This window comes from Homo sapiens, chromosome 12, assembly GCF_000001405.40.
Source record: "Homo sapiens chromosome 12, GRCh38.p14 Primary Assembly".
NCBI lineage: Eukaryota > Metazoa > Chordata > Mammalia > Primates > Hominidae > Homo > Homo sapiens.
Window position 1 is genome coordinate 109879591 of NC_000012.12, and position 25587 is coordinate 109905177.

A 25587-nucleotide genomic window follows, 5' to 3' on the forward strand; every position below is an offset into this window, starting at 1 on the left:
AACCCTCACCCCTGTCCTAAAAGGAGGAAAAACTTTAGGTGGTTTCCCCTAGAAAGAGGCCCTGGAATTTTGCAACTCCATCTTCAAAACCCTCTCCTTGTCCCCGCCTCACCAGGCTTCCTACCCTTGGAGGGGGAGATGGGAGTCTTTGATCTGGAATGGGCGAATTCTGAGGGAAGAAGGAAGGGTTTGTAGGTCCCATGAGGGAGAGGCTGGAAGCGTTCAAAGAGAAGGCTTATGAAATGGGGGGATTCATTGTAAGGGGAGCGAGTTGAGAGCCATCAGAAAGCGCCAGGGATGAAGGACTTTGGGGAAGAAGGGGCAGGAGGCTTTGGGGGAGATGGTGGATTACAGAATGCCTAAGGGAGATGGAAGATCATCCGTGTTGGGGGCACGGATGATCAGGGGGCATTTGGGGGATATGTAGGACTGTGAGGTGTCTAGGGAGAGGGAGGATTTGGGGAGGACAGGCAGGATGTGACATGTTTAGAGCGGAGAGGACTTGGGAGTGGTCCGGGAAAGGGAGAATTTAGGGTGAGTGGAGGGAAAGAGGATCTTGGGTGCCTGGGGAAACAGTACTTAGGGGTGTCTAGGGCAGAGATGGTTAGGGGATGCTCGGGGGAAGGAGGATTCGGGTGCGCGTGGGGCTGCGGGCCGCCTCCCCCCTCCATTCCGGCTCACCGAAGAAGGGCGGCAGGTGGGACACCGCCTCGAGGAAGGGCCCGGTCTCGATCTGCTTGTCCGCGGGCAGCGGCTTCAGCAAGTGTTCGGCCAGCAGCGCCATTTCGGGGTCGAGGCCCGCGGTGATGCCCCAGCCGGCGCCGCGGGCGTCGACACCGCCCCCCCGGCCGCCGCCGTCAGCGCCGGGGCCGTCACAGCCGCCCGCCGCAGGCTCCGGGGACGCCAGCGTCGCCACTTCCGCCCGCACGGCGCCCTCGTAGCCGAGCGCTCAGCGCCGCCCGCCGGCCGAGCGCCTAAACTGCCGGGCGCGCCGCCCCGCCCCCGCTCACCGGCTCCCAATCCGCGCCCGCCGCCGAGGTCTCCGCGCCCCCATTGGCCGGGGGGCCGGCCGGGGGCGGGACGCAGAGGAGGTGCGCCGGTTCATGGGTCCCGGAGGGCCCAAGTGAGCCGCTCCCAGGTGAGTCTTCCCCAGGTGTGCCTCCCGCCGCCCCCGGTTTGGCCCCCCAATCCGGGCGGGCCGACTCGGGCCAGGTCACAGCTCACAACCCGCCCACCAGCTCGGGTTACAGCCCCACCCAGCCAACGCTCCCCAGGACCCCCGTTTCCCCCAAAATTGTACCCCAGTAACCCCAAGTGACCTGGGTGGACACTGCTCTCCTGTTGGTCACGGTTCTCTTTCGCTACAACCGACGAGGACGCTCGATTGCTTGATTCTTGGTCTTCAATGACCTTATACCTGTTGAACACTGCTGAAGTCACAGTCTAACTCAGCCACTGCCCTGCTGGACAACTCCTGCTTCCCGAAATCTGGGGTCCAGTCTGCCCTCAACAGTCTGATGTTACCTGTTGTGAGGCAGAAAAATAGGGCCTGGAGGCAGGGAACATAAGGCTGACTTCCTAGACCTAAATCAAAAAGCACCTTAGCAATGACAGGAATGTAAACGGCTTTGCAACTTCACTTCATCCTCTCCATTCACGCCCTTTACACTTTGTAACTTCACATTCATCCTCTCCATTTACACAGACCACACACTCCAAGAAACATCCTCTCCATTTATACTTTGTAACTTCACATTCATCCTCTCCCACCAAGTAACATCCTCTCCATTTGCACATCCTCTCCATTTGCAATAGGGCACATTCTGAGTAAATGACTCTGTGACTTCACTTCATTCTCTTCATTTACATAGAATATTCACCAAGTAACCAATGGGAAACCTCTAGAGTATTGAGACCCTAGAAAATTCTGTAAGCAGAGCTCTTGAGCCTCTACGCTCAAGCCTGCTCCCAAACTGTGGGGTGGACTTTTCGTTCTCAGTAAATCCTTGCTTTTGCTTTCCTTGCTTCGTTTGTGTGTTTTCTCCAAGATGCCAAGTACCTGGACACCTTCTACTGGTAACAGCTGGAGCCAGCCCAGTTTATACCAATTCACCCACAACCTGGACACTTGTTTCCCAAACCTAATGTCTCTCCAACAGCCCAGGGTCCAGCTTCTCACACCTTGAATCACAAGTCATCTCAGCCACAACCCACCTAGATGCTTATGTCCTAAACCCAATGCCCAGCTTATGCAAAAATCTAACACACCATTGTTGAGAGCCTCTTATTCATTCCAGAATAAACATTTGCCATCCTTCCCACCCCTCCCCCACCCTCCACCACTATGTGTCATGCACTGCACTGGGCACTGAGGATAAAGTGAATGATACAGCAAAATCCCTGCCCTTGTGGAGCTGACAATCTGGTTGGGAACACAACACAATGCAATACACAAATTGGTAAGACAACTTCAGACACTGATGAGTATGTGAAGAAAATAAAACAGTGTAGTGACGGAGGATGACTGAAGCCTGTTGGCTGAGATCGGATGTAGGGGTTTGGGAGCAGTACCTCTGAAGAGGTGATATTTGAGCTGAGACCTAGAGGAGAAGTAGGATAGAGCCAGGTCAAAGACTTGGGGTGTGAGTCTGGCCAACATGGTGAAACCCCATCTCTACTAACAAATACAAAAGTTAGCTGGGTGTGGTGGCAGGAGCCTGTAATCCCAGCTACTCAGGAGGCTGAGGCAGGGAGAATTGCTTGAACCAGGGAGGTGGAGGTTGCAGTGAGCCAAGACCGTGCCATTGCACTCCAGCCAGAGCGAGCGAGACTCCGTCTAAAAAAAAAAAAAAAAAAAGACTTGGGGTGTGAGGCACATGAGCAAAAGCCTTAAGGTAACAAAGAGCTTAGTGTGGTGCAAGGAATCGGGGGGCCAGGGGAGGAAATGGGAATGGGTAAGTGAGGGCAAGAGTGAGTAGGGTGATAGGAGTTGAGGTCAGGGAGGTGGGCAGAGGCTGGAGTATATTGGGGCAGGAAGGGAGTGGTGAAGAGTTTGGATTTTTTTTTTTTTTTTTTTTTTTTTGAGATGGAGTCTCACTCTGTCGCCCAGGCTGGAGTACAGTGGTGGTGCAATCTCGGCTCACTGCAACCTCCGCCTCCCGGGTTCAGGCAATTCTCTGCCTCAGCCTCCCAAGTAGCTGGGATTACAGGCATTTGCCACCACGCCTGGCTAATTTTTTTGTATTTTTAGTAGAGATGGGGTTTCACCATGTTGGCCAGGCTGGTCTCAAACTCCTGACCTTGTGATCCGCCCGCCTCAGCCTCCCAAAGTGCTGGGATTACAGGTGTGAACCACCGCGCCTGGCCAAGAGTTTGGATTTCATGTTAAAGGCAATAAGAAATCACTAGTGCATTTCTGCTGAATCTTATAGAATGTTTTCTTTTTTTTTTCTTTTTTTTTTTTTGAGAGACAGGATCTCACTCTGTAGCCAAGGCTAGAGTGGTGTGATCACAGCTCCCTGCAGCCTCAACCTTCTGGGCTCAAGGGATTCTCCCGCCTCAGTCTCTCAAGTACCTGGGACTACAGGAACATGCCAACATGCTACCCTATTTTTTTTTTTTTTTTGGTAAAGATGGTGTCTTGCTATGTTTCCCAGCCTGCTTTTAAACCCGTGGGCTCAAGCGATCCTCCCACCTTGGCTTCCCAAAGTGCTAGGATTATAGGTGTGAACCACTGTGCCCAGCCTGAATGTTTTAATCTTTCAGAGGGCAGGTGAGAGAAGAGGTTGTTTCAAACCATGACCCAGGTAGAATCAGGAAGTGAGAGGGGCTGGGGAAGATAAAGCTAACATCAACTCTTGCTCATACCCAGACCCTGACATGCTCCATCAAGTCAGATCTCCTACTGATAGGATCCCAAGCCATCAACTAGGCTTGTTCCCACCCCACCCAACCTCACTACCTCGAGCATCCTATGATACCATCTCCTTGAAGCCTCACTGCCCCGCCCCGCACCCTGTCCTAGTGCCAGAACCCCACCCACCTGTCAGACGCCTCTATCAATTCCACACAGAGATTGCACCCTATGTGGGGACCTCTGGCATCAGACAACACCCTGATTTCTCAACACTTTCCATTCCAAACAAACCATTCAGACACTATGGCTGATTCAAGAAGCACCTTGCCATAGAACATAGGCTTGATGCACTGAGATAGGTCATTGCTCTGAGATAATGCAGCATCTTGAAAGTTCATCCATCCATTCATCTACCCCTTCATCAATCCAAAAAATATGATTAGTGCCTGGCCTAGGGTGGATTTTTGCTTTCCCATAGCTTGTGACAGGGGCCAGGCTAGTAGCATAAATGGGTGCTGTGGGCTGAGTGTCACACAATGAGGAGTGGTGGAGACTTTGGAGAACTGGGGGCCACATAGCCCATCAAAAGGGCACTATTAGTCATGCATCATGGCAAGTGCTTGTAGTCCCAGCTATGTGGAAGGCTGAAGTGGGAGGACCCCTTGATCCCAGGAGTTGGAGGCTGCAGTGAGGTGATTGTGCTACTGCTCTCCAGCCTGGGTAACAAAATGAGAAAAAATCTTTTTTTTTTCTTTTTTTTGAGAAGGAGTCTCACTCTGTCACCCAGGCTGGAGTGCAGTGGTGCAATCTCAGCTCACTACAAGCTCCGCCTTCCGGGTTCACGCCATTCTCCTGCCTCAGCCTCCCGAGTAGCTGGGACTACAGGCGCCCGCCACCACACCCGGCTAATTTGTTTGATTTTTAGTAGAGACAGGATTTCACCGTGTTAGCCAGGGTGGTCTGGATCTCCTGACCTCATGATCCACCTGCCTCAGCCTCTCAAAGTGCTGGGATTTCAAGCATGAGCCACTGCACCCGGCCGAATCCATCTCTTAAAATTAAAAAATAAATAAACAAATAAATGGAACTATCAGGCTCTTCACCTGACTACTCATCCCCCAGAGCTGCTAGCTTTTCCAGTTCTTCAAGGGAAACCAGAAAACTAGATCCGTAGGTAAAAATTGCTTGATTTTTAAATGTTGGCAACTAACTTGAATTTGTTAAGAACAAGATGTCAGCCACACAAAGCATTTTTTCTTTTTTTTCTTTGACACAATCTCAAACTCACACAAAAGTTACAACTACAGTCACAAGGTTTCCTTCCTGAACCATCTGAGCATAAGTTGCTGAAACAATGCCCAATCACCCTAAACACCTGAATGTGTATTTCCTCCAAACAAGGACGCTCTCCTGCAGAATCACAGTACATCCATCCATGCAGGAAATTCACCCTGATGTACGGCTACCACCTAATCCTCAGACCTTATTCAAGGTTTGCCATTTGTCCCAGTAATGTCCTTTGTTTTTGTTTTTGTTTTTTGAGACGGAGTCTCACTCTGTCGCCTAGGCTGGAGTGCAGTGCTACGATCTTGGCTCACTGCAACCTCCGCCTCCTGGATTCAAGCGATTCTCCTGCCTCAGCCTCCCGGGTAGCTGGGATTACAGGCACCTGCCACCACACCCTGTTAACTTTTTATATTTTTGGTAGAGATGGGTTTTCACCATGTTGGCCAGGCTGGTCTCGAACTCCTGACCTGAGGTGATCCTCCCGCCTCGGCCTCCCAGAGTGCTGGGATTACAGGCGTAAGCCACCGAGCCCAGCCCCAGGACAGTAACTTTGTAGAATATCCCTCATTTTGGTTTTGTCTGATGTTTCTTCATGATTGGATTCAAGTTGTACATCTTAATACTAGAAGCAGCTATAGATTTTGTGTGTCACAAACTATCACAGAAGTGATGCTCTATCCTTCTCATTGTATCATAACAGATGACACAGTGATTTTTATTTGTCCTATTATTGAAAATCTGATGGTTTTTTTTTTTTTTTTTTTTTTGAGACGGAGTCTCGCTCTGTCGCCCAGGCTGGAGTGCAGTGGCACAATCTCGGCTCACTGCAAGCTCCGCCTTCCAGGTTCGCGCCATTCTCCTGCCTCAGCCTCCCGTATAGCTGGACTACAGGCGCTCACCATCACGCCCAGCTAATTTTTTGTATTTTTAGTAGAGACAGGGTTTCACCGTGTTAGCCAGGATGGTCTTGATCTCCTGACTTCCTGATCCGCCCTCCTCGGCCTCGCAAAGTACTGTGATTACAAGCGTGAGACACCGCACCCCGCCTTTTTTTTTTTTTAAGAGGCACAGTCTTGCTCTGTTACTCAGGCTGGAATGCAGTGGTGCAATCATAGCTCACTGCGGCCTTGAACTCCTGAGCTCAAGAAATCTTCCCACCTCAGCCTCCTGAGTAACTGGGACTACAGGTGTGTGCCTATTATTGCAGGTCTTAACTTTGATCATTTGAATAAGGTGTCTTCACTCTTCTCCACTGTAAAGCTATTCTCTTCCTCTTTGAAATTAACAAATACTTCACAGGGAGGCACTAGGTAAAGTAAATATCTCATCACTCATAAAACCTTCCATTTATTTATTTACATCAGTGGGGACTTGTGATTCCATGGGTTACAATCCATTACTATTTATTTATTCATTCATTTTTAGACAGAGTCTTGCTCTGTCGCCCAGGCTGGAGTGCAATGGTGCGATCTCGGCTCACTAAAACCTCTACCTCCCAGGTTCAATCGATTCTTCTGCCTCAGCCTCTTGAGTAGCTGGGATTACAGTCGTCTGCCACCACGCCCAGCTAATTTTTGTATTTTTAGTAGAAACAGGGTTTCACCATGTTGGCCAGGCTGGTCTCGAACTCCTGACCTCAGGTGATCGACCCACCTCAGCCTCCCAAAGTGCTGGGATTACAGGCGTAAGCCACCATGCCCGGCCTATTATTATTTATTTAGTGGCTCAAATTGTCCAAGATTTGGCCAGTGAAAGCCCCTCCAAGCTAGCTTCTGTGTGTTTCTGTCATGTCCCCATCATTAAGTCCTTCCTTACTCTCTAGCACAAGATATTCCAAGCTTATCTTGTACTTTCCCTGCCCTGGTCTCCAAACCAGCCATTTCTCCAAAAAGCCCTGGTTCTTTTCGGTGGGCAATGGCATTTCGAAACCAAGATCTAGATGTGCTTTTTGTTTTTTGGGAGATTTTTTTGTTTGTTTTTTGTTTTTTGTTTTGAGACAGAGTCTTGCTTTGTTGCCCAGGCTGGAGTGCAATGGCATAATCTTGGCTCACTGCACCCTCCACCTCCCGGGTTCAAGCAATTTTCCTGCCTCAGCCTCCTGAGTAGCTGGGATTATAGGTGTGCACCGCCACGCCCGGCTAATTTTTGTATTTTTAGTAGAGATGGGGTTTCACCATGTTGGTCAGGCTGGTCTCGAACTCCTGACCTCGTGCTCCACCAGCCTCAGCCTCCCAAAGTGTTGGGATTACAGGCGTGAGCCACTGCGCCCGGCCTAGATGTGCTTATTGTTATCGGGGTGTCCCTTCTCCTAGATTCACTCAGTTTTATATGCACACATACACATTCATGTCTATGTTTATCTATATTTGTTCCTATAGTCTTCTATCCGTATTGAAAACCATAGTTTTGGCTGGGTGCAGCAGCTCAAGACTGTAATCCCAGCACTTTGGGAGGCCAAGGTGGGTGGATCACCAGGTCAAGAGATCAAGACCATCCTGGCCAACATGGTGAAACTCTGTCTCTACTAAAAATACAAAAATTAGCTGGGTGTGGTGGTGCAAGCCTGTAATCCCAGCTACTCGGGAGGCTGAGGCAGGAGAATCGCTTGAACACAGGAGGCAGAGGTTGCAGTGAGCCGAGATCGCACCACTGCACTCCAGAGCAAGGCTCTGTCTCAAAAAAAAAAAAACAAAAAAAAAAACCATGGTATTTCACCCTGATAGATCCAATTCTAATTTGTCTCTATGGGGTTAATTCTACTTTTCTCCCTTTTCTTGTTTGTAGTTCCCTTCTCCTGCAGTGAGAAACCTGGTGTTCTCCTTGTTTTTTCCTCATTTGATCAATCCCCCATAGGTTACAACTTCCTATCATTGCTGCCACTCCCTCCCCAGCAAGGATGCCCCTCATGCCATGCTCACGCTTCTGTAGCCCCTGCCAGTCTGCCTTTCCATGAGGATGCCCTTCTCACTTGCTGAGCTCTGGCCACCCCCTCCCCATGCAGACACCTTTCTTATTCCATTTGGGATCTGACACCCACCTTTGTTGTTTTTGTTGTTTAGAAACGGAATCTCACTCTGTTGCCCAGACTGGAGTGCAGTGGCATGATCACAGCTCACTGCAGCCTCTACCTCTTGGGCTCCAACGATCCTCCTGCCTCAGACTCCCAAGTCGCTGGGACTACAGTCGTGCATCACCATGCCTGGATAATTTTTAAATTTTTTGTTAAGACAGGGTCTCACTATGTTGCCTAGGCTGGCCTCGAACTCTTGGCCTCAAGCAATCCTCCCGCCTCAGCCTCCCCAGGCACTGGGATTACAGGTGTGAGCCACTGCACCCAGCCTGACACCCCTCTTTGGACCAGCATGTACCCTCCCCAGTGCCCCCCATTACTGACATTTACCTTGCTGGGACCCACCTATTGGCTTTTGGATTGAATTGTTCAAGAATAGAAGGGCGAGGAAGAGAGAAAACAGGGCGGGGGAGAGGTGGGAAGGAAAAGGGGAAGAGCCACAGAAACCTTCAGCAAGTTGGCTTTGGCTATGGGCCATCAGTTTCTCCCCTTAGCTTCCCGTAGTGTCAGGGAAATACTACCAGGCACAGAGGAGCCACCTCATCTTTTTGGATTGTTGGGTCACTGTACTTCTCCATGAGTTGCAAACCCTCTCTGCAATTAATCTGTAGGACCAGCTTGACCAATGGAGTTGTAATGTTTGGAATCAACTCAGTGTGGGTGAGGTGTTCACTCTGCAAAGTTTCGTCATTTTCCTAAACCAGCTCCACCCAGTGTTAATAACATCTTCCCCAACTGAATCATCAAATCCTTGTTACACAGGCCGTCTTTCCCCCAGCGGTGTCTGTTGGGATGGGTGAAGTAGGCTGAGTTCGTGGTCTTGCTGACATTTTATCCAATAAACGCACCTTCTTTATTGCAGCATAGTAATAATAATAATGACAGCTAACATTTATTGAATACTTAACTATGTTTAAAACTCAACACTTCTACTTTCTAGCTGTGTGGCCTTGAGCAAGTCACTTCCTGTGTCAGTTTCCTGTGGCTGCTTGATGATTTAAAACAATCAAAATGTATTCTCTCACAGTTCTAAAAGCCAGAAGTCCAAAATTAGTATCACTAGGGCAAAATCAAGGTGTTGGCTAGAACACACTCTCTCCGAAGGCTCTGAGCTGGGCACGGTGGTACGTGCCTGTAATCTTAGTTACTTGGGAGGCTGAGGTGGGAGGACTCCTTGAGTCGAGGAGTTTGAGACCAGCCTGGGCAACATAGCAAGGTCCTGTCACCAAAAAAAAAAAAAAAAGACTGGGCATGGTATCTCACACCTGTAATCCCAGGACTTTCGGAGGATGAGGAGGGAGGATTGCTTGAGCTCAGGAGTTTGAAACCAGCCTGGGCAACATAGCAAGACCTCATCTCTACAAAATTAAAAGTAAAAGACGACTCTGGGCTGGGTGCGGTGGCTCATGCCTGTAATCCCAGCACTTTGGGAGGCCGAGGCAGGCAGATCACGAGGTCAGGAGATCGAGACCATCCTGGCTAACACGGTGAAACCCCGTCTCTACTAAAAATACAAAAAATTAGTCGGGCGTGGTGGCGGGCGCCTGTAGTCCCAGCTGCTCAGGAAGCTGAGGCAGGAGAATGGCATGAACCCAGGAGGCAGAGCTTGCAGTGAGCCTGCTGCACTGCACTCCAGCCTGGGTGACAGAGAGAGACTCCATCTCAAAAAAAAAGACGACTCTGGAAGAAAATCTATTCTTGCCTCTTCCAGCCTCTGGTGGCTCTAGGCATTCCTGTCTCACTCCAGCCTCTGCCTCCATCTTCATGTGAGCTTCTCCTGTGTGTGTGTAAATCTTCCCTCTGTTGTTTCATCTGTAAAGTTAGGACAGTAGCAATGCTAACTCCCTGTCAGGGCTGATGTGAGATTTCAATGGGTTAATGTAGATAGAGCAGTTTGCATGCTGGCAGGCAGGCAGCCCTCGATGAATGGTGTGGCTATTATGAATCGATTTACGGAGTTATTTCTACCCAGGACTGGCAATTGTGGGGATAATTGATTCCAGTGATGTCACCTCCCCAACTGCCAGGTTTTCAGCAGGACTAAATGTGCCAAATGGGCTTTGTTGAGCCAACTCCTCTGGGTGTTAAGAGCCACCATGCCAATTCTCCTTGCTGCTTCTTGGGGCCCGTCTGCCGCCTCTCCCTAATTAATGCGAAGGCGCACCCGCCAACAGGCCCACTTGCTGTCATCCCAGGAAACACCCAAGTGGGATACAGCCAAGTTTTGGACATTTTTTCAGTTACTGGATAAAAATAGTATTTTGATCATTTTAACAGCACAGAGAAGAGGGAGAATGCCACCTTGTCCTCCATCTACAGGGGCAGCCTCAGGGGCTGAGAGGGCCTGGCCTTTGTAGTCTCACATGGATAAACTGTTCTAAGGAAGCCTGACTGTGTCACAATCCTAAGACAGTGTCATAGCACACTACCATTATCATTAAATTGAAGAAACATGAAAATGAACCAACCTGTGCAACACAAAAGACCTCATCTCTACAAAAAAAAAAAAAAAAAAGTTAGCTGGGCATGGGGGCGCATGTGCCTGTGGTCCCAGCTACTCAGGAGGCTGAGGCTGGAGGATTGCTTAAGCCCAGGAGATAGAGGCTGCAGTGAGCCATGATTGTGCCACTGCACTGCAGCCTGGGTGAGAGAGCAAGACCCTGTCCCAAAAAGAAAGAGAGAGCAAGCCAACCTTTTTCTTTTTTCTATTTTTTTTTTTTTTTGGAGACAGGATCTCACTCTGTCACCCAGGCTGGAGTGCAGTGGCGTGACCTCGGCTCACTGCAACCTCTGCTTCCCAGGTTCGAGCGATTCTCCCACCTCAGCCTCCCGAGTAGCTGGGACTACAGGTGCATGCCACGACGCCCAGCTAATTTTTGTATTTTTAGTAGAGACCGGCTTTCACCACGTTGGCCAGGCTGGTGTTGAACTCCTGACCTCAGGTGATCCACCTGTCTCGGCCTCCTAACGTGCTGTGATTACAGGCACGAGCCACCGTGCTCAGCTGACCTTTTTCATTCCATTCAGTTCCGCAATCACTACTGGAACTTTTCTCTCAGACCAGGCTTTGCCAGGCAATGTGGGGTCAAAGATGGAGCTCTCTCAAGGAGCTCACAGACTGGTGGTGTTAATGGCAATGAATCATGTATGAATCTGAGCATTCAAAAATGAGGACAGGCATTAGCACACAGCCTCTGCCTGGCAGCTAACGAGTCCGGGTAATGGTTTTGAACCCCTAGGGTATTTGTTCCTTTCTTCTCTTATTAACTTCCCTGGGTGAAAATGTTTTGAATACGGAAAACAAAACAAATCACATTGGAATTTGTACCTCTATGGTAAACTACCTGTACAGTTTTGATTCCATGGGAACACTTAGGTTTAATTTTGAAGCAAAATCTAAAGACCAAAGTTCCTCACTGAATTAATTTTATAGTAAGCACAGTTTAAACATCCTTCTCTATAGGAAAATTGTAACTTTCGCTTATTTTTATTGGTACTTCTAATGCTGTGTAGTTGAGTGAGTAAATGTGCTATGGTCAGTTCTAACTAAAGGAGAAGATATAGTAATGGGCTTTCTTAATATTTCCTTTTTTTTTTTTTTTGAGACAGAGTCTCACTCACTCTGTCGCTCAGGCTGTAGTGCAGTGGTACAATCTCCCCACTCACAGCAACCTCCACCTCCCAGGTTCAAGCAATTCTCCTGCCTCAGCCTCCCAAGTAGCTGGGATTACAGGTGCGCAACACCATACCTGGCTAATTTTTTGGGTTTTTTTTTTTTAGTAGAGACTGGTTTCACCATGTTGGCCAGGATGGTCTTGAATTTCTGACCTCAAGTGATCCACCTGCCTTGGCTTCCCAAAGTGCTGGGTTTATAGGTGTAAGCCACTGTGCCCAGCCCCAATATTTGCTTTTTTTTTTGAGACGAAGTTTTGCTCTTGTCGCCCAGGCTGGCGTGCACTGGCGAGATCTTGGCTAGGCTCACTGAAAACTCTGCCTCTCAGGTTCAAATGATTCTCCTGCCTCAGCCTCCTGAGTAGCTGGGATTACAGGCATGCACAACCACGCTCTGCTAATTTCTGTATATTTAGTAGAGACGGGGTTTCACCATATTGGCCAAGCTGGTTACCAACTCCTGACCTCAGGTGATCCACCTGCCTCAGCAAGTAGAAACCTTGTCTCAAAGTTTCTACTCAAGGTTTCAGTAGAAACCTTGTCTCTACTGAAAATACAAAAATTAGCTGGGCGTGGTGGCGCATGCCTGTAGTCCCAGCTACCCAGGAGACTGAGGCATGAGAATTGCTTGAACCCAGGAGGTGGAGGTTGCAGTGACCTGAGATTGTGCCATTGCACTCCAGCCTGGACAACAGAGCAAGATACCATCTCAAAAAAAAATCATTTATTTAATGCTTCAATGAAAGCTATGGAAGAAAAATACAGTATGTCCTGACACCAAGTGACCTGGTCAGAGGGAATCAGGAGGGCTTCTCCAAGGAAGGGACATTTACACTGGGATCCTGAAGTCTGAGTAGGAGTTAGCAGAGGGGAAGGGTCTTCCAGACAGAGGGAACAGCATAGCAGGAAAGGTGGTGGTGAGAGATAAAGAAATGACCAGTGTGGCCAGTGATGTCAGCAGGGGACCAGACCAGGCTGGACACAGTGGTATGGGCTTCATGCCAAGGGAAATGGGGAGCCATGGAAGGTTCAAGGCTGAGAAGATGATGGAACTGCTCTGATGTGGTCTACCAGTCATCTTGAACTTTGGGACTTAGGAAGTAGAGGTTGTCTGTCATCCAGGAATGGCCAGTGGGTGCCTGTGGGCAGGAAAGTCACAGAAAACACAGGACTGACCTGATGCCCCATTTTGGTGGACTGTGCCCCATACCTGACACCCCAGCAGAAGGGAATTGGTGCGGGATTTGGGATGGGAACCCTGATGCACTGTAAAGACCATCAGAGTGCTCTGCCCAACTACTCTAAGCCTCAGTGGGGTTACTCTAACTCATACTCCTAGAGACACTGTGAGGATGAAGGTGGTCACCCAGGAACAGGACAATCAAGGTTCAGTAACTGGTAAGCAGGTGTTGGCTGAGTCTCCTCCTCTTTGTGGCTTCAGTTTCTGCCTCTACACACGGAGTCTACCAGCTGCTTTCACTATCACGCTGGCTCTGCCACTTACCTCATTTAGGCACACACTCCCCATTTCTGAGCCCCCATTTCCTCCTCTATAAAGCAAGGGCTTTGGGTGGGGTGAGCTTCAGCAAGCTGGAACCTGTGGTCTTAAATTGTGAACATCAGGCCGGGCGCAGTGGCTCATGCCTGTAATCCCAGCACTTTGGAAGGCTGAGGTGGGTGGATCACCTGAGGTCAGGAGTTCAAGACCAGCCTTGCCAACATGGTGAAACATGGTCTCTACTAAAAATACAAAATTAACTGGGTGTGGTGGTGCATGCCTGTAATCCCAGCTACTCAGGAGACTGAGACAGGAGAATCGCTTGCACCTGGGAGGCAGAGGCTGCATTAAGCTGAGATCTGCACCATTGCACTCCAGCCTGGGCAACAAGAGTGAAACTCCTTCTCAAAAAAAAAAAAAAAAAATTGTGAGCATCAGATCCAGCAGGGCATCTTGTCACCAAGGATTGCTCTTGGGCCCAGTCCCCAGAGAGAACTCTAGCTCTGGGGAGGAAGTTGGATGTTTATCATGTGTCTTTCACAGGATACTTCTTTATGCTGGTGGCTTGCCTAATGCCAAAGTGTCCCATGACCCATGACCAGGTGTCCTTCTCCCAGGAAACATGTTGAGATCGGCTGATGCCCTTGTGGCTCTTGTTTCACCTATATCCAGTTTATTCCAAACAAGACAGCCACTCTCTAGGAGAGCCTGACCGGGAGGGGTGAGCATTGAGTTCAGGTGTGTTGGTCGAGTGAAACACAGAGGGAGCAACTCAACAAAAATAGCAGAAGCAGTTTATTACTCACAGATCCAGAGAGCAGCGAGCAGGGTTTGCATAGCCAATGGAAATGGGAAGCTATTTGGGACATGTGTGCTTAACCAATGGGGACAGAGAGAGAGAGAAATATGGGCTAAAGACTTTATTGGAGGCCAGGCACGGTGGCTCATGCCTGTAATTCCAGGACTTTGGGAGGTTGAGGCACGTGGATTACTTGAGGTCAGAAGTTCAAGACCAGCCTGGCCACTATGGTGAAATGCCATCTCTACTAAAAATACAAACATTAGCCAGGCATGGTGGCAGGTGCCTATAATCTCAGCTACTCAGGGAGGCTGAAGCAGGAGAATCGCTTGAACCCACGAGGTGGAGGTTGCAGTGAGCCAAGATTACACCACTGTACTCTAGCCTGGGCAACAGAGTGAGACTCAGTCTTAAAAAAAAAAAAAAATGTAATCTCAGCACTTTGGGAGGCCGAGGCGGGCGGATCACGAGATCAGGAGTTCAAGACCATCCTGGTTAACACGGTGAAACCCTATCTCTACTAAAAAATACAAAAAAATTAGCCGGGCGTGGTGGTGGGCACCTGTAATCCCAGCTACTGAGGAGGCTGAGGCAGGAGAATGGTGTGAACCCGGGAAGCCGAGCTTGCAGTGAGCCACCAAGATTGTGCCACTGCACTCCAGCCTGGGCAACAGAGCAAGACTCCGTCTCAAAAAAAAAAAAGAAAAAAAAGGCCGGGTGCAGTGGCTCATGGCTGTAATCCCAGCACTTTGGGAGGCCGAGGTGGGCAGATCACCTGAGGTCAGAAGTTCAATACCAGCCTGACCAACATGGAGAAACCCCATCTCTACTAAAAATACAAAATTAGTTGGGCGTAGTGGCGCATGTATGTAATCCCAGGTATTTGGGAGGCTGAGGCAGGAGAATCGCTTAAACCCAGGAGGCGGAGGTTGCAGTGAGCCAAGATCGCGCCATTGCACTCCAGCCTGGGCAACAAGAGCGAAACTCTGTCCCAAAAAAAAAAAAAAAAAAAAAAAGACTTTGTTGGAGTCCAGGGCATTCCCCTAGCAGGTTTCCCTCAGGGAGTTCTACTTGTTGGGTTTAGAGCTAGTGGGCATGTGTTCCAGGAGGTCACACTGTGACTAGGACTGGTCACTGCAGCATGACTGTGCCATCCAGGCAGGGGGTGGGGTCGGGGGGTGAGTCGAGTAGTTTGTCTTCAGCTGTCCCATAGGGAGGGGGTCAGCAGTTGCATAAGACAGATACCTGGGTTGACCACCTTGAGGAACTGGGAGGAGGTGGAGAATGGACTATGTCAAGGGTTGACTGAGACCTGCTTTTTATATGAGAAAGTCTAAAATATTCAAAATGGTTGCCCAGGCAACATAAAATTACAGGAATTCACTACAGTTCCCCAGCTGAAGTAATGGTATGGTTCAAGGTTCAAGAATTACTTTTTTTTTTTTTTTTTTTTCAGAGACAGTGTCTCATTCTCTCACCCTGGCTGCAGTGCAGTGGCTCAATGATGGCTCACTGCAACCTCGACTTCCCAGGCTCAGGCAATCCTCCCACTTCCACGTCCCAGGTAGCTGGGACCACAGGTGTGCACCATCACACCCGATTAATAAAAAAAAAAATTTGGGTGGAGATGGGGTGGGGGGTCTCTCTATATTGCCAGGCTGGTCTTAAATGCCTGGGTTCAAGCGATCCTCCTCGGCCTCCCAAACAAAGTGTTGGGATTACAGGTGTGAATGACCTCACCTGACCCCATTGTTATTTTTTTAAAACACAAAGCTGGGGCTCTGAGAAGCAGCCTAGTAGCCCCAGGGTCTTTGAGCCCACCTGTCTACTTCTGCGGTCTTGTCTTCAGGTGGGGTGGGGTGTGAAGCAAGAAGCTGGAGTGGTTGGTGTTGAAATGTCATACCTTCACAACGGTACCTGCTAATTAAATGATGGCATTGTGCGGCTTCCAGTACTGTCATGTTTCATCTAATGGAGAGCGGCTCCCATAGTGTCACCCCCTCTCCCTGTTCTTGTTTTCTTCTCCCATGCTAGGATACCTAAAATCACAAGTCCTGGAGCAGCTCCAACCTGCGGGTTCCTACCAGGGCTTTCCCTCTCAGCCCCCTGCACGCCGTAGTCATTGACCTGTCATTGAATATTTCATATTGCCAAATTCTTTGTATGTTCACATTTGCAGGCCTCTTTTTTTTGAGATGGAGTCTCACTCTGTTGCCCAGGTTGGAGTGCAGTGGCATGATTTCGGCTCACTGCAACCTCTACCTCCCAGGTTCAAGTGATTCTCTTGCTTCAGTCTCCTGAGTAGCTGGGACTACAGGCACGCACTACCACACCTGGCTAATTTTTGTATTTTTGGTGGAGATGGGGTTTCACCATGTTGCCCAGGCTGGTCTCGAACTCCTGACCTCAAGTGATCCATCCGCCTTGGCCTCCCAGAGTGCTGGCATTACAGGCGTGAGCCACTGTGCCCGGCCGCAGGCCTCTTTTAAGAGCTACACTTGCAAGCCACAAGCTCCCAGAAAAACACACTGAAGAGGGATTCACAGTCTCAGAGGTTTGTTGTAAATCCTGGCTTTTATAGTCTTTGCTGTGTGACCTCAAGAGAGTTGATTCACCTCTCTGAGCCTCAGCGCCCTCATCTGCAAAATGGGGGCAGGAACAAACTCCTCCCAGGTTGGAGGGAGGCTTAAATGAGATAATATATCTCAAAGCACCTGGCACATAGCAGGTGTTCAAGAAATGCTCGTTCCTTTTCTTCTTTTTGCTTTCTCTTAACACCATAGATTCCTTTTTCCTTTGGAGGAGAAGAAAGTACTCAAAATAGGGGATCCATTCACTTTTTCATTCTCAACACAAATATTGATTGAGGCCGGGCATGGTGGTTCATGCCTGTAATCCCAGCGCTTTGGGAGGTTGATGCCTGAGGTCAGGAGTTCAAGACCAGCCTGGGCAACATGGCAAAACCCCAACTCTACTGAAAAAAAATACAAAAATTAGCCGGACGTGGTGGCGGGCACCTGTAATCCCAGCTACTTAAGAGGCTGAGGCAAGAGAATTGCTTGAACCTGGGAGGCAGAGGCTGCAGTGAGCCAAGTTCGCACCACTGCACTCCATCAGCCTGGGTGATAGAGTGAGACTCTGTCTCAAATATATATATAGATAGATATAGATATATAGATAGATAGATAGAGTGCTTACCACATACAAGGCATGGCATGGGGAATGCAGCAAGGAACACGATGATCCCTGCTCTTGTGTTGCAGCAAGAGGGCTTAGGCACTGGGATCAGGCAGAACTGGTTTCAAATCATGGCTCAACCACCTATCAGCTGCGGCTCCTCAGGCAAGCCATGCCACCTTTTCGAGGCTTAGTTTAGGCAATTCTAACATGGGGGCAATAAGATATCTCATAGAATGCCCAAGAGGAGCAAAGGAAAAGGCACTTGTAAAGTTGCTTAATAGCGACAGCCAGCAGCTGTGTAATCAAGAGGTTCAGAGTTGAACTGTGGGGGCCGGTGAGGATGTCTGGCCAGCAAAAGAGAATGGAGGCTGTAATCTGGGGACTTCAGGCTTCCAGGATCAGGCCACTTAGGAATGGTTGCCCTCCGGCATGCTGGTCGAGCCCTAAGCCCTAAAGTTCTGCTAGTGGAGCTTATCTGGTCATTATACAGATGAGGAAACTGAGGCCCAGAGAGTGGAAAGGCCTTGCCCAAGAGGCACAAAATCAGGATCAGGTCTCCCTTACCTTGCCCCAACTCACATATTTCTTTTTCTTTTCTTTTCTTTCTTTCTTTCTTTTTTTTTTTTGAGACAGGGACTCCCTCTGTTGCCCAGGCTGGAGTTCAGCGGTCAGATCTCGGCTCACTGCAACCTCTGCCACCTGGGTTCAAGTGATTCTCATGCCTCAGCCTCCCGAGCTGGGATTACAAGTGCATGCCACCACACCTGGCTAATTTTTGTATTTTTAGTAGAGACAAGGTTTCGCCACGTTGGCCAGGCTGGTATCGAACTCCTGACCTCAAATGATCCACCTGCCTCAGCCTCCCAAAATACTAGGATTACAGGCGTGAGCCACCACGCCTGGTCCAATTCATGTGTTTATGAAGTTCCTGTCGACAGACATTTATGTGTTGGTCTCCTTTGTTGGGTGGGCATCTCTGCTAAGTGACTGCAGTGGGCTGCTGCCACCCCTCTGCACTGGGGACACAACATGAAAGAGTGGCCATGAATTTGCCCAAGGGGGTAGGGATTAATGGGAGGGAAACTTGAGGACTCTTATGCACGCAGTGGGACAGACCCTGATTAAACAGGTGCCAACTAAAGGGGGATGTGAAGGAAGGCTCAAGTTTGGGCTCACCTGGGATGCACTGGATGCTCTACTCCTGGGCATGCTCCATTTATTCTCACACGGGCAACCCTAGAAAGCTGCACTATTTTTTGTTTTGCTTTGTTTTTTGAGACAGAGTCTTGCTCTGTTGCCCAGGCTAGAGTGCAGTGGCATGATCTTGGCTCACTGCAACCCCCGTCTCCTCGGTTGAGGCGATTCTCCTGCCTCGGCCTCCCGAGTAGCTGGGACTACAGGTGCCTGCCACCACGCCCAGCTAATTTTTATATTTTTAGTAGAGACGGGGGTTTCACCATGTGGCCAGGCTGGTCTGAAGCTCCTGACCTCAAGAGATCCGCCAGCCTTGGCCTCCCAAAGTGCTGGGATTACAGGCATGAGCCACCAGGCCCGGCCTGAAAGTTGCTCTATTTTTACTCTCATTCCATGGACTAGGAAGCTGAGGCACAGACAGATGAAGTGACCTGCCCAAGACTACACCAGCATGGTATAGCTTGAAACCTGGGCGTTCTGACTGTAGAGACCATGTTTTGAGACAGGGTCTCACTCTGTCACTCAGGCTGGAGTGCAATGGTGTGATCACGGCTCACTGCAGCCTCCTTGTCCTGAGCTCAAGTGATCCTCCCACCTCAGCCTCCCAAGTTGCTAGGACTATAGGTGTGCACCACCACAGCCTGCTAATTTTATTTATTTATTTATGTATTCATTTATTTATTTAATTTGGAGGTGGAGTCTCACTTTGTCACCCAGGCTGGAGTGCAGCAGCGCAATCTTGGCTCACTGCAACCTCTGCCTCCCAGGTTCAAGCGATTCTCCTGCCTCAGCCTCCCGAGTAGCTGGGAGTATAAGCATCTGCCATCATGCCCGGCTAATTTTTGTATTTTTAGCAGAGACGGGGTTTCATCATGTTGGCCAGGCTGGTCTTCAACTCCTGACCTCAGGTAATCCACCCTCCTGGGCCTCCCAAAGTGCTGGGATTACAGGCGTAAGCCACTGAACCCAGCTGAGGCCATGATGCTGCATCCAGGAAAAACAGAGATGAATAAAGAATGGAGAAATGAAGGGAAGAAGAAATGAAAGAATGGGAAAATGAAAGAAAAGAGAACAAACAAGTATTTTTCTTCATTTTCTTTTTAATGGAATAGTTGGCATGTAATACTTGTAGCACACGAGTTATAAAACATACTAATAGAATGAACACTTTTGAACTCACCACCAATATAAGACTATAATAGAAAGTTATCGGCCGGGTGCAGTGGCTCACTCCTGTAATCCTAGCACTTTGGGAGCCTGAGGCAGGCGCATCACGAGGTCAGGAGATCGAGACCATCCTGACCAATATGGTGAAACCCCATCTCTACTAAAATACAAAAAATTAGCTGGGCGTGGTGGCGTGCGCCTGTAGTCTCAGCTACTCGGTAGGCTGAGGCAGGGTAATCGCTTGAACCCGTAAGGCGGAGGTTGCAGTGAATCGAGATCACGCCACTGCACTCCAGCCTGGCGACAGAGCAAGACTCTGTCTCAAAAAAATAAAAAAGTTACCAATAACTTCCATCTACTTATGCCAGCAGGCCTCTGCCCAAGTTGTACATTGAACACACCTGGGGAATTTTGGAAAACACTGATACTCTCAGATGGGATTTGGGGTTTGGTTTGGGCATCTGGATTTTTTAAAGGTATCTGGATTTTTTCTTCTTTTTTTTGAGACAGTGTCTGGCTCTGTCACCCAGGCTGGAGTGCAGTGGCACAGTCATGGCTCACGGCAGCCTCGATCTCCTGGGCTCAACTGATCCTCCCGCCTCAGTCTCCCGAGTAGCTGGGACCACAAGTCCCACCATGCCCGGTTAAGTTTAAAAAATTTTTTAGAGACAGGAGTCCCTCTGTGTTGCCCAGGCTGGTATCTGGTGATTCTCACGCGCAGCCAGGTTTGAGGACCACTGACTTACATTCTCTTCCCCCTGGTTTCCACCTTCACCTTCACGTGATGGTAACCACCATCCTGAAATACGTGTAGTGCATGGACGGATTCTTTGCCTCCATGCTTCCCTATTTCAAGGAGCAGCGACGTTTGCTATTTATCTCCCGCTGGCCACGACGGGGCACCAGAGAAAAACACAGGCTCCCTACGCGCTGAAGGAGGCTTGGCCCTTGCGACGCTCCGTCGTCGGGCTCGTTGCCGGTGCAAACAGGGAGGAAACAGCCGGCGTTGCTGTAGCGCGTCTGGGAATTACACCGGGGGACTGGCCGGCCCGCTTCGTGCCTGCGGGAAGTCGGGCCGGGGGACTCTTCGGAAACTCCGAGCCTCAGAGAAATGTGAGTCGGAGGGTTGGACTAGGCCGGATCCGGCGTTAGGGCGGGGGCCCGCAGGCGGCCCGCGCGGGCGGGAACCGGGGCGGCAGTCAGCGGGCGCGAGCTCAGGGCGCCTCCGGGGTCCTCACTGCGCTCCCCACGCGCTGTGACCCCATTTGTTGCACGTGCATGTTCAGGTCGAGAGAGGGATGCGACGTGTTCGGGGAGCAGCCCACCTTGTGGGTGGCCAATCCGGGACGGGAATCTTAAACTTTTAACTCTTGGTGCAAAGACTGATCCACTGGCGGCTTTACGGGAGCGGGAAAAAAGTATGTGAAGCTTGCCACGGTCTCGAGACCGAGGTCACACGTTAGCAGCCTGCCGGCTACATTTGGACCATAGACGCAGAGTGTTTGCCCCCAAAACTGGAGGACCTCCAGAATGAGATTCTTGGCGTGCACCAGGCCTTTTCGCTCATTCAGCCGGCGTTCCTACCCAGGCACTGCATCGACCCTACACTTGAGGACAGCTTTTGGGTCAGGGGAATTGGTGCCTGGAGTGAGACTGCTCTCTGCTTTCAAGGCTCCAGCTGTATCCCTACATTGCTCAGGCAATTCCTCTCTCTAGGTCTCAGCTTCTTCATCTGCAAGATGAAAGGTCTGTCCTCCATGGTAGCCCAACATACTTCCGAGTGTTATTATCAGTCCCCTCCCCGGGGACTGCCAGAGCCAGGGCAGGTTGGTCCCAACAGGCAGCCCCTTGCAGCAGAGAGAGCCTGGGCTCTGGTCTCAGACGGACATGAATTAGGAACCCAGCTTGTTTATCTCCTTTACTTCCTGGCTCTGTGATCCTGAGCAAATCACTTTGTAATGCTTAACGTTGTTTTTACTAACCTTGTTTTTTAATGCCTTACCTTGTTTTTACTAACCTTGCTTTTAGACTCTTTTTTTCCCCTTAATCACCTAGCCTTGTTTCCACATGAATTAGCTCTCCCTTAGTTGAGAAAGCCGGATGAACTCCATCTGGTTCCCTCATTTACAAGACATCAAGGACTCCTTACCCACCCCTTTCCTCAAGGAGTTAACTTGTGTAAGCAGAATCTCAACATATCAAAGAGTCCAATTAACTGATAAGGTACTGAAACAAGCAATGTACGAAGTTCCCAGGATTTTGCTCAAAAGATAACACCATAAAACCTTGAGTTGGTGTCGGGCAGAGCACCCATATCTAACATTTTATGAAAGATTTAGAGCCCCTGCACCTGGAACTGTTGTTTCTCTGTAACCATTTGTCTTTTAATTGTTTCTCTGTGACTCTTTGTCCTTTTAATTTTTGCATGTTTTTACTTATGTAGAATTGTTGCATCTGAGCTCCCCTCCCCTTCCTAAACCAAAGTATAAAGGAAAATCAAGCCCCTTCCTCGGGCCAAGAGAATTTATTAGCCGTCTCTTGGGCACTGGCTAAATAAAGGACTCTTAATTTCGTCTCAAACTGTGGCGTTTCTCTAACTCGCTCGGGTACAACAACTTTACCTCTTCAACGTAAGTTTCCTTACCTGCCAAATAGCGAGGTGATTGTAAGAATGAAAAAAAGTCATATGTATTGAGTGCTTGGCACATACATGTGTTCCTTACATTATTGTCTCTGTTTAAGCACAGCATAAATGCCCCCGATGTGCCTAGTCTAGCAATCTTAGGACAATCCCTGTGTCTGTCTGTTGTGTTCCTGGTGATGGCTGGCCCACAGCTGGGTGCACGCAGTCCAGAATTTTTTATGTTTTTGTTTTTTTGAGACAGAGTCTCACTGTCACCCAGGCTGAGTGCAGTGGCGCTATCATGGCTCGCTACAGCCGTGACCTCCTGGGCTCAAGCAATCCTCCTGCCTCAGCCTCCTGAGTAGCTGGGACTACAGGCGCACCACCACTCCTGGCTAATTTTTGATTTTTTATAGAGATGAGTCTCATGATGTGGCTGGTCTCCAACTCCCGGCCTCAAGTGATCCTCCTGCCTCAGCCACCCAAAGTGTTGGGATTACAGGCATGAGCCACTGTGTCTGGCTAAGGTTTATTTGTTTTGTTTTGTTGTGTTTTGAGATGGAGTCTTGCACTGTCGCCTAGGCTGGAGTGCAGTGGGACAATCTTGGTTCACTGCAACCTCCACCTCCTGGGTTCAAGTGACTCTCCTGCCTCAGCCTCCCAAGGAGCTGGGATTACAGACGCCCACCAGCACGCCTGGCTAATTTTTTGTATTTTTAGTGGAGACAGGGGTTTCACTATGTTGGCGCAGCTGGTCTCGAACTCCTGACCTCGTGATCTGCCCACCTTGGCCTCCCAAAGTGCTGGGATTACAGGCGTGAGCCACGGCAAATTTAAAAGGATGATTTGCAGCACTAGTGGCAGATCATTTTAAAAAATGCTGGTGCCTGGGCCCTACTAAGTTTTTTGATTGAATTAGTTTGGAGTGGGGCTCAGACACGGTTTTGTTTGTTTGTTTGTTTTAAAGTTCCACCAGTTGATTTCACTGTGCAGCCAAGGGGTGGTGACCACTCGTTAAAGGGATGAGGCCAAGCTGGTGAGGGTTCCTGGGATTTGCAGTGGCTCACTTTCCTCCCATTCCTGTTCTCAGATGGCGCTCCCGACGCTGCCGTCCTACTGGTGCAGCCAGCAGCGCCTGAATCAGCAGCTAGCACGACAGCGAGAGCAGGAGGCCCGGCTTCGGCAGCAGTGGGAGCAGAACAGCCGTTACTTCAGGATGTCTGACATCTGCAGCTCCAAACAGGCAGAATGGAGCTCTAAAACCTCCTACCAGCGGAGGTAATTGTGCGGTAACTGCCGATTGGATGGAAGTGGGGACCACTTGCTGGTCAGGGGATGAGGCCTTAAGGATTTAGGGAGCGTAGGATTTGCCAGGCAGTATGAATTACCTGCATGGTGATGTTTTTCCAGCTGGAAATGGAAAAAAAGATCATCAGTGCAGCCATACATTGGCATTGAAAAAGATAAAATGATGCAGAAGCATATGATAGAATTTGGAAGCCTGGTTGTAACCCCATATCCCCAGAGACAGCCACAGTTAACAGTCTGGCACATATCCTTCCATGCTGTTTCCCACTGGTATTTGTGCTTAAATATACACACACAAAGCTACTTTTATAGAAATACGTGTAAAAACATGGAGGCCAAAAGCATAGGCTTTGAAGTCAGACCTAGATGGAAATCCTGACCGTGTCTCTTGCTGAATGTATGAGCTTTGGTTTCCTCATCAATCAAGTGGGGCTACAGCAGACCTATGCTGTAGGATTTATGTGATGGATAATATATACATTATTTATACATTTATACATTTTCTTTTTGCAAAAAACAAGATTTTCTCTTACACATACTATTCTGTGACCTGCTGTCTCTGCTTTGGCTGGGGACACATTCCTGTGTCGTCATGACACATCTACCTCAGCCTCTTTTACCGACACAGCAGAGCAGAGCACGTTCCCTGTGGCTGTAGCATGATTGATTCAGGCAGGCCCCCTCTCACCCAGCATGCATGCCTATCAGCGGGAGAAGATGAAGGAGGAGAAGAGGAGGAGTCTGGAGGCCCGACGGGAAAAGCTCAGGCAGCTCATGCAGGAGGAGCAGGACCTGCTGGCCAGAGAACTGGAGGAGCTGAGGCTGAGCATGAACTTGCAGGAAAGAAGAATCCGGGAGCAGCACGGGAAGCTGAAATCAGCCAAAGAAGAGCAGAGGAAACTGGTAACTCCCCAGAGGGCTTCAGGAGGCTGTGGAGCAGGAGTGTTCCCAGCCTGAGTGTGTCGCACATGTAGGGTCATTCCTGGGTGCTCAGGTCTGATGAGATGCCAGTTAACTCCAGAGCCAGCAGGAAAAGAGCTTAGGTCCTTGTGCAGGGACTGGGTTTTGGATCAGTTAGCTGTAGTCTCTTTAGCCCCTTCAATCATTACATCTGAGTGCTTTTCCTTTCTTCCAGTTCTGTGGGTCCACAGAGATCTGGGACTAGTCTGTTTTACCTTCCAAAGTAGTTATGTGAAACAGTGAGCCCTAATCTGTGCTTTTCAGCCTGCTGTATTATTTTGAGACCCCCTAGATAGGACCTCTGTGTAGCATCAGATTTTGGCCCCCTTTTGTCATCATTGCAAGAGTCACTTGGTAGTGCCATGTGGTTCTCAGAGCTGTGCATGTGAAGCATGAGGGTTTGAACAGTGGTTGCAGTGACGGTGTGAAGGGAGGCACTCATAGCCTGAGCTGACTTCCACTGTGTGTCATCCAAAATGTGAATGGATTTGAAAAATGACATCAGGCTTTCCATTTTGTGTTTTCTTGATAGATTGCTGAACAACTTTTGTACGAACACTGGAAAAAGAACAACCCGAAACTTCGAGAGGTGAAAATCAGAGATCTCCATTGATTTATCTAAGTAGATGAAATCATGTTTCCAGACACTTTTTTTTTTGAACACGTATCTTGTACCGGGTTGAAACAGAGGAGGGAACCTTGAGCCACCTGAAAAGAGCGCCAGGCAGAAGATCTGGCACAGGCTGCGCTGAGCGGCTCATTCGGTTGTTGAACAAATGTTGATTGAACCTCCGCTGCCTGGTCTGCCAGGTGCGGGCATGGAGATTAGACATGGTTTCTGCTCATTAGCTTGTGTCCAGCATGGGAGCTCATTACAGGGCAGGATGCAGGGTGCTGGGCCAGCCTGAGAGGATGAGCATGGGCCAGCGCACTCAACTCTGGAGGGGTTGGGGAGGCTTCCCAGAGGAGTTCC

The 25587-nt window shown here is 49.4% G+C and overlaps 2 protein-coding genes and 1 long non-coding RNA gene across 11 annotated transcripts in view, besides 7 other annotated features; 1 reads left to right on the forward strand and 2 right to left on the reverse strand.

The window, feature by feature from the left end:
* Positions 1-951, reverse strand: part of GLTP (glycolipid transfer protein) — a 29597-nt gene extending 28646 nt beyond the window's left edge. Inside the window, exon 1 of the mRNA NM_016433.4 lies at positions 682-951. Within this exon, the coding sequence (NP_057517.1) occupies positions 682-784 (103 nt within the window). The 5' untranslated portion in view covers positions 785-951. The remainder of the gene's footprint in view (positions 1-681) is intronic.
* Positions 659-1208: a silencer, noted in NCBI's record as "silent region_4845". NCBI's record gives its function as "represses an Ori minimal core promoter by ATAC-STARR-seq in GM12878 lymphoblastoid cells {active_cell/tissue: GM12878}" and the evidence as "EXISTENCE:reporter gene assay evidence [ECO:0000049][PMID:35858748]".
* Positions 1077-25587, forward strand: part of TCHP (trichoplein keratin filament binding) — a 37403-nt gene continuing 12892 nt past the window's right edge. For 3 of the 8 annotated variants that reach the window (NM_001143852.2, XM_017020024.1, XM_047429668.1), the window contains exons 1-4: positions 20684-20836; positions 23437-23624; positions 24347-24557; positions 25147-25203. In NM_001143852.2, the coding sequence (NP_001137324.1) occupies positions 23437-23624; positions 24347-24557; positions 25147-25203 (456 nt within the window). In that variant the 5' untranslated portion in view covers positions 20684-20836. Of the gene's footprint in view, positions 1139-20683; positions 20837-20986; positions 21470-23436; positions 23625-24330; positions 24558-25146; positions 25204-25238; positions 25425-25587 lie in introns of those variants that run through there. The other 5 variants (XM_011538837.2, XM_011538836.3, NM_032300.5 and 2 more) reach the window with 5 other exon arrangements.
* Positions 1308-1811, reverse strand: LOC124903012 (uncharacterized). 2 transcript variants are annotated; one of them, XR_007063455.1, is made up of 3 exons: positions 1771-1811; positions 1525-1584; positions 1308-1417 (listed from the first exon to the last, which is right to left on the reverse strand). It is a non-coding gene; the product is annotated as an uncharacterized LOC124903012 (long non-coding RNA). The 2 variants fall into 2 exon arrangements; XR_007063454.1 differs by having other exon boundaries at positions 1308-1427.
* Positions 1533-2034: an enhancer, noted in NCBI's record as "NANOG hESC enhancer chr12:110318928-110319429 (GRCh37/hg19 assembly coordinates)". NCBI's record gives its function as "activates a minimal SCP1, AML or CMV promoter by ChIP-STARR-seq in primed H9 embryonic stem cells {active_cell/tissue: H9 hESC(primed)}" and the evidence as "EXISTENCE:reporter gene assay evidence [ECO:0000049][PMID:30033119]".
* Positions 8823-8972: a silencer, noted in NCBI's record as "silent region_4846". NCBI's record gives its function as "represses an Ori minimal core promoter by ATAC-STARR-seq in GM12878 lymphoblastoid cells {active_cell/tissue: GM12878}" and the evidence as "EXISTENCE:reporter gene assay evidence [ECO:0000049][PMID:35858748]".
* Positions 12228-12287: a silencer, noted in NCBI's record as "silent region_4847". NCBI's record gives its function as "represses an Ori minimal core promoter by ATAC-STARR-seq in GM12878 lymphoblastoid cells {active_cell/tissue: GM12878}" and the evidence as "EXISTENCE:reporter gene assay evidence [ECO:0000049][PMID:35858748]".
* Positions 20407-21247: an enhancer, noted in NCBI's record as "H3K27ac hESC enhancer chr12:110337802-110338642 (GRCh37/hg19 assembly coordinates)". NCBI's record gives its function as "activates a minimal SCP1, AML or CMV promoter by ChIP-STARR-seq in naive H9 embryonic stem cells {active_cell/tissue: H9 hESC(naive)}" and the evidence as "EXISTENCE:reporter gene assay evidence [ECO:0000049][PMID:30033119]".
* Positions 20905-21014: a silencer, noted in NCBI's record as "silent region_4848". NCBI's record gives its function as "represses an Ori minimal core promoter by ATAC-STARR-seq in GM12878 lymphoblastoid cells {active_cell/tissue: GM12878}" and the evidence as "EXISTENCE:reporter gene assay evidence [ECO:0000049][PMID:35858748]".
* Positions 21248-22088: an enhancer, noted in NCBI's record as "OCT4-NANOG-H3K27ac hESC enhancer chr12:110338643-110339483 (GRCh37/hg19 assembly coordinates)". NCBI's record gives its function as "activates a minimal SCP1, AML or CMV promoter by ChIP-STARR-seq in primed H9 embryonic stem cells {active_cell/tissue: H9 hESC(primed)}" and the evidence as "EXISTENCE:reporter gene assay evidence [ECO:0000049][PMID:30033119]".